The sequence below is a fragment of the Homo sapiens genome, chromosome 22, assembly GCF_000001405.40.
Source record: "Homo sapiens chromosome 22, GRCh38.p14 Primary Assembly".
Taxonomy (NCBI): Eukaryota; Metazoa; Chordata; class Mammalia; order Primates; family Hominidae; genus Homo; species Homo sapiens.
Window position 1 is genome coordinate 35,367,293 of NC_000022.11, and position 13,663 is coordinate 35,380,955.

Genomic DNA, 13,663 nt, shown 5'->3' on the forward strand with positions numbered 1-13,663 from the left:
AGGAATGGAGAAGTAATTAGACTTTCCTGTTATCTGAAGCCAGCCATCTGGTGCCAGGCTTCTTTCTTAAAAATGTATAAGTAATTAGAATTTCTCTACATCTCTGGAATGCATGCATATAGAAACTCATCATGCAACCCTTGCTGACATCAAGGCACTGAAATGTTTACAAATGTAATCATGTACCGTGACCTACGCGGCTAACATGGTCCAAATTACCCTTAAGTTCCCGCTTTAAGGTCCATAAATGGCTCTAAGGAAAATCTACCCTGGCACGCCCAGTCCTCTCGCTGAAGCGCCCCGCTGAACTCTGCTGCAGCGTTCTTTCTGTCTAATACAACTTCCCTTTTCAAACCTATACTGTTGTTGGTAAATTCCCCTTACTACCCATGAGCCAACCATTCTCTGCTGCCAGCACTCTAACACCTTGCCAAGCAGTTGGTTTCTTTAGAAGCCTCCCTCCCCAGCCTGCAGATGGCCACCTTCTCCCTGTGACCTCACAAGGCCTCCCTTCTGTACCTGTCTGTGTCCTAATCTTTTCTTATAAGAACACCAGTCATATTGGATTAGGGTTCACCCTAACAGCCCCATTTTAATTTAATTATCTCTTTAAAGGCCCTAATACGGGCGGGGTGTGGTGGTTCATGCCTGTAATCCCAACACTTTGGGAGGTCGAGGTGGGTAGATCACCTGAGGTCAGGAGTTTGAGACCAGCCTGGCCAACATGGTGAAACCCAGTCTTTCCTAAAAATACAAAAATCAGCGAGGCATGGTGGCGGGCGCCCGTAATCCCAGCTACTCGGGAGGTTGAGGCAGGAGAATCACTTGATACTCGGCGGCGGTTGCAGTGAGCCGAGATCACACCACTGCACTCCAGCCTGGGTGACAGAGCGAGACTCCATCTCAAAAAAGAATAAAATTAATAAATAAATGCCCTAATACAATCTCCAAATAGTCTGAGTTACTCCAGGTTAGGGTTTCAACATATGAATTTGAGGGGATTCAGTTATTCCCATAACAGCCTCTAAAGCCACCTTGAGCTTCATCCCTCCCCCATATTCCACAGGGGCACAGAGAGGGCTTTCCCAGCCAATTCCATTTCTCTTTCCTGCACAGGTCTGAGGCTGAGCTCTGGGCAGAAGGACCCTGCTACAGGCATCGGCTGGGAGGGAGAGAAAGGGAGAACCTGCCCTCAACCTTCTCCTCATCCATTCCTAGCCAACTCCCCCGACCACGCCCAGCTGCCCAGGGGCCCCGTCCTGCCAGCTCTCCTGCAAGGAGGCTTCTCCCTGCCCTGGTCTCCAAGGAACAGGCTTCTTCCTGGAGCCCAGGGTCCTTCCTGCCTTCCTTGGCAGGTGGGTCCCTGACCTCCTGCATTGTGGTCACTCCCAACCAAACACCTCCCGGGAGGCGGAAGTTGCAATGAGCCAAGATCAGGCCATTGCACTCCAGTGTGGGCAACAAGAGCAAAGCTCCATCTCAAAAAAAAAAAAAAAAAAAAAAAAAAAGTTGCCCTTTCGAATCCAAGGGCTGCTGTTTTTGCAAGTGGATGAAGGCTTTCCCTGAGTATTCCTCTTGCTTCCTCCCACCTCCTCCTGTAACTGAAGGATTGTCCTGTCCTCCTTAAGCATTCATTCTGCATGTTACCCCAGCAGGACCAGGAACCCCAAATACAAATTTTCCTCTATTCCTCTAATCACTTCCATGCCCTTCTCAAGATGCATCAAGACCCTCAAGGTCAGGCCGGGCACGGTGGCTCAAGCCTGGAATCCCAGCACTTTGGGAGGCTGAGGAGGGCGGATCACGAGGTCAGGAGATCAAGACCATCCTGGCTAACACAGTGAAACCTGGTCTCTACTAAAAACACAAAAAATTAGCCGGGCGTGGTCGCGGGCACCTGTAGTCCCAGCTACTCGGGAGGCTGAGGCAGGAGAATGGTGTGAACCCGGGAGGCGGAGCTTGCAGTCACCCAAGATCGCGCCACCGCACTCCAGCCTGGGCAACAGAGCGAAACCCCGTCACAAAAAAAAAAAAGAAAAAAGAAAAAAAGAAAAAAAAAGACCCTCAAGGTCATATTCAAAGGGAAGGAAGTCCAGCCCCCTTGAGGCAGCTGGCTGAAAAACAGGTTTCTCATATACTAAAAGAACTTGGGAAATGGGAATCAGAAATGGATAATCATTTTGTTGCTAGCATGCTCCAAGCTAGGGTCATTATAAGGTGATGGAGACAAGGACATAGGCTGGCCCAAGGCCACAGGCACAGGAGACAAAAATACCCGCAGGACAGAGATGAAGGCTGATCCCAGGCTAACAGATGACCATTAGAACACAGATGAAGGCCAGGTTAAACTGGTTTATTCTGGAACCCCAAGGATGAAGAGGGAGCCCCCGGTTCACTTCAGTATCTCCTCTGTTCTCAGTGGGTAATTATGATGAGATGGGGCCAAGGTTAAGGGTACACAGTAAGACTGGTTCATTCCGAAACCCTAAGGATGAATGAGGAACGCCCTGTTCAGGAAAGGATAACAGGAAAATAAGAGGATGCCTTCTTTTCTGTTTTTTTTTTCTGCTTTGTTCTCTCTTTGCAGGTGGGTAATCACGTCACCGTATGTCAGGACATGCCCCTGCATTCTCAAAAACTGGGAAGTTTGATCACCCAAATCTTGGAACAAAAAGCCACTTTTCCTTTTGAATACTGTTTGGCCTAAAAATGAACTGGGAGAAAATTACAAAAGTCAGCCTTTCTTTCTCCAAAAGAATCCAGTGCCTCTATGCAGGAAATCCTCAAATTAGCCTTCTCAGGTCTTTTATAATCAACAGCAGAATGAGGAGGACAGGGATAAAGAGACAGAGAAATGCAGGGAACAGAGAGAGGCTCAACTATTGGCTGTTTTATAAGCCCTCCAGCCCCACCCAGGTTGCCCTCAGAATCCCCTCCTAGGTAACTGCCATCAGCGCCAGAAGCCAGGCCACTGGCAGATAAACTGCCCCCATGGGATAAATGGGGAAAAGCCCCACATAGCTTGTTCCCTTTGCCACAAGCTCAGCCACTGGAAACGGGACTGCCCTGAGGGTCATAGGAACCCCCCCAGGACAGAATCCCAACCCCTGATGGCCATGAGCTGAAGGGGTTCTCTGCCCTGGCTGGCTTCCAAATCAGACATTGTCATTAACAGGACAAAGCCAAGGGTAACTTTGGAGGCGGCAAGTAAAATTATAAATTTCCCTCTTGAGTTCAAGAGCTGCCTACTCTGTGCTAATCTCCTTATCTGAGCAACTCTCTTCCAAATCCTGTTGGGTAATGGGGGAAAATGGCACCTTCTTTCTCCAAAAGAAAAAAATCTTTATATTACTTAAGGGACCAAGGAGTTTGAGACCAGCCTGGGCAACATAGTGAGACCCTGTCTCCATCAGAAACACAAAAAAATTAGCCAGGTGGACGTGGTGGCACAGGCCTGTGGTCCTAGCTACTTGGGAGGCTAGGGTGGGAGGATCGCTTGAGCCCGGGTGATGGAGGCTGCAGTGAGCCGAGATCGTGCCACTGCACTCCAGCCTGAGTGACAGAGTGAGACCCCATCGCAAAAAAAAAAAAAAATAAGTCAAGGATGATGATGATATAGACTCAGGGAATATCATTAAGTGAACGAGAAATTATCTTTATTCCCCACTTTTAACATGGGGAAACTGAGGCCCCAGGAAGACAACCAAGTATTGGCTGAATTGAGCTGAGGGAGATCTCAAATCACTCAATAGCGACCACCACCTTCCCAGGCAGCTATCGAAGTTCCCATAATGGGCAGATGGATCACCTGGGGTCAGGAGTTCGAGACCAGCCTGGCCAACATGATAAAACCCCATCTCTACTAAAAAAATACAAAAATTAGCCGGATGTGGTATAATTACAGCTGTAATCCCAGCTACTAGGGAGGATGAGGCAGGAAAATTGCTTGAACCTGGGAGACAGGTTGCAGTGAGCCGAAATCACGCCACTGCACTCCAGCCTGGGCGACAGAGCAAGACTCGTCAAAAAAAAAAAAAAAAAAAAGGCCGGGTGCGGTGGCTCACACCTGTAATCACAGCACTTTGGGAGGCTGAGGCAGGTGGATCACGAGGTCAGGAGTTCAAGACCTGCCTGGCCAAAATGGTGAAACCCCCATCTGTACTAAAAATACAAAAATTAGCTGGGCATGGTGATGGGTGCCTGTAATCCCAGCTACTCGGGAGGCTGAGGCAGAGAATTGCTTGAACCCAGGAGGCAGAGGTTGCAGTGAGCCAAGATCGTGCCACTGCACTCCAGCCTGGGTGACAGAGCAAGACTCCATCTCAAAAAAAAAAAAAAAAAAAAGTTCCCACGGTGCTGCCGAGCCTGTGATTGGCAGAGGCATTGTTTATTCGTTCAAGGTTTTTTGTTAAGGGACCCGGTGAGTATCAACTACTAGGCAGTTCTCACTTCTGCTCACTTCTGGGCTCACTTAAGCCTACCAGCAGCCCTGAAGGCTGTTAACCACCCTTTAGAGCTTAGAGAGTCGAAGAGGCAGGGGCCAGGTCCTAAAGAAAGGCACACTGTCCCCAGAGCCTGGGGCGCGATGCCACCCGCCCCCCCCCCCCCCGCCCAGGCGTACCCCCCCTTACCCCGCCCCCCACCCGCTCGCCGCGCCCAGCCCATCTGGCGCCGCTCTGCCCCTGCTGAGTAATCCTTTCCCGAGCCACGTGGCCGTGTTTTTCCTGCTGAGTCACGGTCCCGAGGTCTATTTTCGCTAAGTCACCGCCCCGAGATCTGTTTTCGCTGAGTCACGGTCCCGGTGTCTGTTTTCGCTGAGTCACGGTCTAGAGATTTGTTTTCCTCAGAGTTCCAGCTGCTCCAGGTTTAATCCCCTGGGGCAAAGTCCGGACTGTCCGGCTGGAGTCTGGAGTCGGGACATGCCTCAGCCAGCACGTCCTCGGCCTCGTCTGGGGCCTGAATCCTAGGGAAGCCATAGCAGCTCCTCCACCCTTCCTCTCACTCCTCCTCTAGCCTCTTGCTACTCCCCGCACCACTGTTTTAGGGAACCTCTATCTCCCGACGGCCTGCCACGGGCCAGGCGCTGTGCTGGGGGCTTCACACTTTAAATCGCTGTTGAGCGGGGCGCGGGGGCGCTGCAACCTAAAGGTGGGAGCTACTCAAATGGAGGGGCATCTGTTAAAATGGCCGGCCTGTCATTTTCAAAAACTTCAAGGCCGGGCGCGGTGGCTCACGCCTGTAATCCCAGCACTTTGGGAGGCCGAGGCGGGCGGATCACGAGGTCAGGAGATCGAGATCATCTTGTCTAACACGGTGAAACTTCATCTCTACTAAAAATAGAAAAAATTAGCCGGGCGTGGTGGCGGGCGCCTGTAATCCCAGCTACTCAGGAGGCTGAGGCAGGAGAATGGCATGAACCCGGGAGGCGGAGCTTGCAGTGAGCCGAAATCGCGCCACTGCAGTCCGGCCTGGGCGAAAGAGCAAGACTCCGCCTCAAAAAAAAAAAAAAAAAAAAACTTCAAAGGCTGAGGAACCCAAAGAGGCAGGACAAGTGAATGCAATGCAACCTCTTGGGCTGGAACCTGGACTGGTAAAACGGCTAAAGAGGAGGTTATTGGGGCAATAGGGGACATTTGAATATAGGCTTTATATTGAAGGAGTTCAGGATATGCCACCCAAAATGTGCCACTTTGGATTAAGGATCATTATTATTATTATTATTATTATTTTGAGACAGGGTCTCTGTCACCCAAGCTGCAGTGCAGTGGCACAATCTCGGCTCACTGCAACCTCTGCCTCCTAGGTTCAAGCGATTCTCGTGCCTCAGCCTCCCAAGTAGCTGCGATTACAGGTGTGTGCCACCACTCCCCATTCATTGATTAAGGATTATTTTGAGCTGGCCAGGCGTGGTGGCACATGCCTGTAATCCCAGCACTTGGGGAGGCCACTGTGGGGGGATTGCTTGAGCTCAGGAGTTCCAGACCAGCTTGGGCAACGTGGTGAAACCTTGTCTCTACAAAAAATACAAAATATAAAAAATTTGCCAGGCATGGTGGTGCATGTCTATAATCCCAGCTACTTGGGAGGCTGAGGCAGGAGGATTGCTTGAGCCCAGGAGATTGAGGTTGCAGACCACTACACTCCAGCCTGGGAAACAGAGTGAGACTCTGTCTCAAAAAAAAGGATTATTTTGGGATAAAGGCACTTTAAAAACAAACAAACAAAATCAGGTGCAAAAAGGTTGCTGTGGGTTGGGCATGGTCGCTCAGGCCTGTCATCCCAGCACTTTGGGAGGCAAAGGCAGGCAGACCACCTGAGGTCAGGAGTTCGAGACCAGCCTGACCAACTTGGAGAAACCTCATCTCTACTAAAAATACAAAATTATCCGGGCGTGGTGGCGCATGCCTGTAATCCCAGCTACTAGGGAGGCTGAGGTAGGAGAATTGCGTGAACCTGGGAGGCAGAGGTTGCAGTGAGCCTCTGACCTTCTTTTTTTCTTCCTGAAAGCAAGAGATGAAATTCCATATGGAAGACTTTTCTCTATACGAGGAGAAAATTAGCATTCCTTTCATCCATGGCAGGAAGTTGAAGCCAAAATAAATCTGTACAAACAAAGCTTGTTAAAGCCAGCTCTTCCTAGTCTCTTCTCTACCCAGTTAACCACCCTAACCCACACCCACGCCACTTTGCCTTGTCACGTTTTCACAGTTTACTACTCTGTGTCCAAATCTGCATGTAAGTGTTTGGCTCTGTTTCCTTGAGTCTTCTTTTCCTTAGGACGGCTCACGTGTTATGTAAATGTACGTTAAATAAATGTGTATGCTTTTCTCCTACTAATCTGTCTCATGTCAGTTTAATTCTCAGGCCCAGCAGAAAACTCTAAAAGGGTATAGGTAAAATTTTGCCTCCTCTACAATATAATGAATTTATATCGAAGCCAGATTTCCTGATTTTTATAACCATATGTCAGGGACTGCACTCCAGATATAATACATGCTAAATAATTTGGGGGTAGATAGGCATGGTGGCTCACACCTGTAATCCCAGCACTCTGAGACACCAAGGCAGAAGGACTGCCCCTGACGTCAGGAGTTGGAGTCCAGCCTGGGCAAAATAGCAAGACCCCATCTCTACTAAAAATGAAAAAAATTATCCAGGTGTGGCGGCATGAGCCTATAGTCCTAGATACTCAGGAGATGGAGGCAGGAGGAGATATATATATCTGTATATATTCAAAAATATATATGCATAGTATATCAAGAGAGAATACGATAAAGCAAATGTGACAAAATGCTAACAACTGGTGAATCTGGATGAAGGTGTATAGAAATTCTCTGTACTATGCTTGCGACTTTTCTGGACATTTGAAATTATTTCGGAGAAGTTTACTTTTTGAGGAAAAGGTAAATACAGGCCGAGCGCAGTGGCTCACGCCTGTAATCTCAGCACTTTGGGAGGCCAAGGCAGGTGGATCACCTAAGGTCAGGAGTTCGAGACCAGCCTGGCCAACATGGTGAAACCCTATCTCTACTAAAAATGTACAAATTAGCTGGGCATGGTGGTGCATGCCTGTAATCCCAACTACTCAGAGGCTGAGGGAGGAGAATCGCTTGAACCCAGGAGGCAGAGGTTGCAATGAGCCGAGATAGTGCCATTGCACTCCAGCCTGGGCAACAAGAGCGAAATTCCATCTAAAAAAAAAAAAGGTAAATATGAAGAACCTGAGATTCAAAACTCCTGACTGAAATCAAGGTTTGTTGGATGTTAGTGACCCCCGCCCTACTGCAGAATCATCCAGAAATTTCTAGATAGGAAAAAGGCTCTGGCTGAATCATGAAAGGGGAGCTGGATGCCTCTCTGACCAACATAACGGTTAACATTTACCGTGTGCCTCCTCTGCCAAGCCTCACTGTAAGCTTCTTACATGCATCAAACTGATTTCATGCTCACCACATCCCCTTGAGTCAATGCTGTTATTATTCCTCATTTTGTCAGATGAGGAAATAAAAGCTTAGGGTGTTCCAGTGTACACAGATGGGAAGTCATGGATCCTGGATTTGACTGCAGTCCTTTTGCCTAGAGTTTATTGCTTTAGCTAGTCTATACTATCCTAATGGTACCTTGATCAGGTTGAACCAGGGCATACCAGATCTGGGAGGTATAGTCAGGCTCCATTTTGGCAAGACTGGCCTGGTAGTCTGCATCCTTCAAAGGCTAGAATGCCTTCTTGTCTGGCTGTGGGTCTTCGGTCACTGGGTACGTGCTAATAGAGGCTGCACGATGTTTGGAAAAGATGTTGCCATTCTATGCCCTTTGCTGCCTCGGGCCCAGGGGCTCCTAGGGCAGCGATGCTGTGGAATCTGAGTGAGCCAGACACACTTGGCCTCAAATCCCGGGTGAGCTGTGTGATATTAGGCAGGGAATTTCACCCTGCTTGCTAAGCCTCGTTGATTAAATATGTAGTGAAAGCCTGGCTTGTGCTAAGGGCATAAGAAGGTGAATCTGACATGGCCCTTGCTGACTTCAAGGAGCTCACAGTCAGGACGGAGGTGGGGGCAACTGGGGCCCCTGGAGGGGTCCATAATGTGAGGAGAAGAGCTTCAGGAAAGCCTGTGTAGAATCTGTTTTACAGCTTCATGAAGATATAATTGGCATACAATAAACTGCACATATTTAAAGTATACAATTTGATGAATTTTGACACAACTTATAACCTGTGAAAGCATCTCCACAATCAAGATAAAGGGTGTATTCATCACTCTCAAGTTTCCTAGTACTCCTTGGTAATCCCCTCACTTCAACTAGGTAACCAGTGATCCAATTAGACTAGCTTGCATAATTTTCTAGAATTTTATATAATTCTATATACATTATGCGTATGTGTGTGTGTATTGCTTTGGCGAGCTCTTTTATTAGGAATGTTCATCTTTTGTCTGTTATATGTGTGGCAAACACTTCCTTCCAGTCTGTTGGTAGGGTTTCAACCTTATTTATGGGGTGTTTTGGCATCAGAAGGGTTCGGTGTTTTGCACTTCAGCCTATGGATTTTTTTCTTTTTCTTTTTTTTTTTTTTGAGATGGAGTCTTGCTCTTTCACCCAGGCTGGAATGCAGTGGTGCAATCTCAGCTCACTGCAACCTCCACCTCCCGGGTTCAAGCGATTCTCCTGCCTCAGCTCCCCCGAGTAGCTGGGATTACGGGCACCTGCCACTACGCCCGGCTAATTTTTGTATTTTTAGTAGAGATGGGGTTTCACCATGTTGGCCAGGCTGGTCTTGAACTCCTGACCTCAGGTGATCCACCCACCTCAGCTCCCAGAGTGCTAGGATTACAGGCGTGAGCCACCACAATTGGCCCAGTCTATGGATTTTTAAAAAATAACTTGGGCTTGTCTTCCTTGCTGAAGAAGGCTGTTTTCCAGCCTGTCACACAGCAGTTAGGCTGTAGACCCTCACTGGAGCCCCTGCCCTGCAGAATCGAGCACATGTTCTTTCTGGGTCTGTGTGGGGTGTGGGTGTGGTCAGGACACCGTCTGTGACCTTATTTACTGGGGACGTCCCCTGCTTGAGGAGAATATCCAGGCAAGGTCTCCTCACTCTCCTTAGCCACCATCCAGCTTGGCCAAGAGGCCTCCCCATGATTCCTCCCACGCCAGGGCCTCGCCTTTGTTTTTCACTGTTAGGGGCTGGCGAGTCACTGACCCGCCCCCCTCCCTGCTGCCCAAACCACTTCTGTTTCCTGAAGGCGCCTTGGGAATGCTGAGTCGCGATTTCCTCATCCCCTCGTGCAGCTGCATTTCTGCTGCGTCATGTTTGGGAGGGGGGACTCGCGGAAACAAAGGGAAGGCGGATTTTGCTAGATTTTGCTGAGTCACCAGTGCCTCCTCAGCTTCTCTTTAGGTGGGAGGTGAAAGGGCAGCTTTAATGGTAGGCAGGAGGAAGTGAAACTTCTAGAAAACGGCAGAAGCCTCTTGTTTGTCTTTTCTAAGTCTGTGCCTTTCCCCTGCTGGGTCCCCCAGCTCCCACCCTGTGAAGTCCACCTCAATCTGCCCCTGATTTAATGTTGCAATCCACCGAGGCCTTCTTATGCTTCACATCTCTCTGACTTCTGCATCTGCCTCATCTCTTCTGCCTCCAGCAGGAGAAAGTTCTCTACTTTTTTTGCCTGGATAATTATTGTATTTTTAGTAGAGATGGGGGTTTCACCATGTTGGTCAGGCTGGTCTTGAACTCCTGACCTCAGGTGATCAGCCCACCTCAGCCTCCCAAAGTGCTGGGATTATAGGTATGAGCCACCGTGCCCAGCCTCATCCTCCATCTTCAAAGCTAGCAGCATGGCATCTCCCAGTCTCTCTCTCTGTCCTCTGCTTTCTTTGTCACCTTCTGTATGTGCAACCATCCAGCCTCCCTCTTATAAGGCCCAAGAGGATAATCCAAGATAATTCCCCATCTCAACATCCTTGACTTAATCACTTCTGCAAGATCCTTTTGCTATGTAAGGTAGCAAAAAGGTAACCTATTCACAGGTTCTGGTGATTAGAATGTGGACACCTTTAAGGGGCTTTTATTTGGCCCAGCAGGAGGAGAGAGAATAGCATTTGGATCATCCTGTTGCTTGACTAAAAAGAAGGGGAAGTCAGGAGGCTGAATCAGCATGCGAAAGGGCCACAAATTCAGCCCTGGGACAGCCTAGAGGACCAGAACAACTCTGGCCTGGCCTCTTGCACCCCAGCAACCCACTGTGTGGGGGGCTGTTCTAACGAAGTCTGGGGCTCCCAGAGAACAGTTAGAAAAGAAAGCAAGCCCAGACCGGCAGCCAGGAACCCTGGGTCACTGGAGGTTCTCTTTCCAATGGGGGGCATAGCCTGGCCAAGTCCCTCCTGCTCTTGGGGTCCCTGCTTCCCTGTGTTAAATAAAAAGGGTTCAGATCTCATGAGTTTTACCCTCTAGGGTCGCTGAATGGACAGACTCTGGATCTATACACGCAAACTCATCTCCCCTAAACTCCTGGACCCTCTGTGAGAAGGGTTGGAGTGTGGTGGTCAGGACTGTGGGGACTGGCTTCAAAGTGCTGTAGTTTGAATCCTGGCTCTTCCATCATTAACTGTATGACTTGGGAAAATGACTTATCCTCTTTGTCCCTCAGTGCTCATGTGGGCAAAATAGAGATGAAAATAGCTTGCAAGGCTGTTGTCAGGATGGGCTGCAATCACGCGCGTGAAGTCTCTGCACATAGTAAATTCTCAATAAAGGCTGGTTAGAATGACAGTTTGGAATTGTGGCTTGGTTCCAGCCCATTCTATCAGCCCAGCAATATTACAGCCTAACAATATTATTATTTTTTCCCAGAAAGAGACCTTGAAGCATCTATTCATTCAGGCATGCATTCAGTATTAACTGTGACCTACCAGGCACTATTCCAGGAACTGGGAATTTACAAAGCAAAGTAGTAGGCAAGGTCTCCACCTTTGTGCTTTACATGCCACTGTTGGGGCTCAGAAAGTGATACCAGGACAACTGGTGCTTTGACATGATGAGAGGCCTTAGGAGCTGCCTCAGAGTCAAGGTCCCTGTAAGCTTGTCTTGTTCCCCCGACAAGCACAGGGAGAGACGCTCTCTGGAATTTCCTTATCTGACCAAGAACACTTCTTTACAAAAGAAATGCAATTGTGTTAAGTCTTTTTTTCCTTTGAGACAGAGTCTCGCTCTTGTCACCCAGGCTGGAGTGCAGTGGCACTATCTTGGCTCACTGCAACCTCCTCCTCCTCCCGGGTTCAAGCGATTCTCCTGCCTCAGCCTCCCAAAGTGCTGGGATTACAGGTGTGAGCCACCGCGCCCGGCCAGTGTTAAGCCCTTTTTCTAGTAATCTCATCAAATATCCAGGAAAGATCAACCACTGGAGAGAGAAAGAGACTGGGAGTCATCACCAGACCCAGACAGATTTACCTGTTCTTCTGAGGACAGTGCCAAGAGATTACCTGGGGGACTTTATCTGCCTAGGACAACCTTTGTCCCTGTGCGGCTCCACCTCCACCTTCCCTTAAAGTCGGCCTTTCACCTCCAGGGCCATTCCTTCTTGCTAATGATTTACTGTCTTTCAAAAGAATTGTCTGCATTCCCTATCTCCCTTCTCCCCTATAAAAAAGGCTGGGTAGCCTCTGTACTCCACTGGGTTACAGGGTCACCATTCTTCCGTGATTACCCCATTACAATACATTTTTGTATGTCTTTTCTCCTCTTAACCTGACTTTTGTCGGTTGGTTTTCGGGGAACCTTCAGAGGAAGAAGGGGAATTTTTTTCAAGGCCCCTTAGCTCACCCTTGGGAGGATGATCCTTTCCAATACAATCTCAGAAGTGCCTCTGGGCTGTAGTGGCCCTAGGCTGAATTCCAGGAAGTTTTTTTTTTTTTTTTTTGTTTTTTTTTTTTTTTGAGGGACAGCGTCTTGTTCTGTTGCCCAGGTTAGAATACAGTAGCGTGGTCACAGCTCACTCCAGCCTCTACATCCCAGGCTCAAGTGAACCTCCAGCCTCAGCCTCCCAAGTAGCTGGGACCACAGGCATGTGCCACCATGCCCAGCTAATTTATTTTATATTTTGTAGAGACAGGGTCTCCCTATGTTGCCCAGGCCAGTCTCGAACTCAAAGCAATCTTCCCACCTCGACTGGGCTCAAAGCGCTCTTCCCACCTCAACCTCCCAAAGTACTGGGACTACAGGTGTGAGCTACCATGCCAGGCCTGAAAGCCATCTTAAAAAAAAAATCTTAGAATGAGAATCACAGTATTGGGAAAGGACTGTATGAATCATCTGGTCCATTCGTTTTGTCCTCTGGGTTCACCCAGTGACCCTATTTCCCCCGAGTTCTAAGGAGTCCACCTCATGCAGAATTGATTCAATAGGCGATCAGCAAGGGCCAGCTCTGCTCTGGGCCCTGAGCAGGCACTGAGTATAAGTCAGACCTGAATGTGCCTGGAAGAGTGTCCCACGCATTCCAGCAGGGAAGCAGTTTGTATGACAGGTGTCCCAGTCCAGGCGGATACCAGGTGCTGCCAGAGTGTGGAGGAGGCAGGCGGGGACTTAGTCTCCTCCCTGGGTTTGGACACTGGCATCCTGCTTTATGTGTGACACCACTGCACCCCTCTGAGCCTCGGTTTCCCCATCTGTAAAATAGAAGCGATCTACCCTCACAGGTCAGTTGTAGGGATGAACCATGAAAATACTAGAGTCTCTGTTTTTTGACAGGAACTCAAAAAACAGATCCTAAATGTACATTTAAAGAGGGTGTGAGGAGGCAAGCAGTCAGCAGAGGATTCCAGCAGGTGACATTTTAGGGAGCTGGAGACAGCAGAGCCTGGGGTTGCTAAGTTCCTGATGTTGCCCACCAGGCTATTGCTCTGAGCAGCGCTGCCTCCCAGCTTTCTGGAACCTTCTGGGACGCCTGGGGTGCATCAAGTCCCAAGGGGACAGGGAGCAGAAGGGGGGGCTCTGGAAGGAGCAAAATCACACCCAGAGCCTGCAGCTTCTCAGATTTCCTTAAAGGTTTTGTGTGTGTGTGTGTGTGTGTGTGTGTGTGTATGTGTGTGTGTGTGTGTGTGTGTGTGTGTTTTCTCTAAAAGTCCTATGGCCAGACTTTGTTTCCCAAGGGTCATATGACTGCTCCTCTCC

General features: G+C 49.0%; 4 annotated features.

The window, feature by feature from the left end:
• Window positions 9,245–10,444: an enhancer, noted in NCBI's record as "P300/CBP strongly-dependent group 1 enhancer chr22:35772530-35773729 (GRCh37/hg19 assembly coordinates)". NCBI's record gives its function as "activates an origin of replication core promoter dependent on BRD2, BRD4, P300/CBP, MED14 and CDK7 cofactors, with strong dependence on P300/CBP, by STARR-seq in HCT116 cells {active_cell/tissue: HCT116}" and the evidence as "EXISTENCE:reporter gene assay evidence [ECO:0000049][PMID:35650434]".
• Window positions 9,542–10,089: an enhancer, noted in NCBI's record as "H3K27ac hESC enhancer chr22:35772827-35773374 (GRCh37/hg19 assembly coordinates)". NCBI's record gives its function as "activates a minimal SCP1, AML or CMV promoter by ChIP-STARR-seq in naive H9 embryonic stem cells {active_cell/tissue: H9 hESC(naive)}" and the evidence as "EXISTENCE:reporter gene assay evidence [ECO:0000049][PMID:30033119]".
• Window positions 10,051–10,290: an enhancer, noted in NCBI's record as "active region_18903". NCBI's record gives its function as "activates an Ori minimal core promoter by ATAC-STARR-seq in GM12878 lymphoblastoid cells {active_cell/tissue: GM12878}" and the evidence as "EXISTENCE:reporter gene assay evidence [ECO:0000049][PMID:35858748]".
• Window positions 13,525–13,604: a silencer, noted in NCBI's record as "silent region_13655". NCBI's record gives its function as "represses an Ori minimal core promoter by ATAC-STARR-seq in GM12878 lymphoblastoid cells {active_cell/tissue: GM12878}" and the evidence as "EXISTENCE:reporter gene assay evidence [ECO:0000049][PMID:35858748]".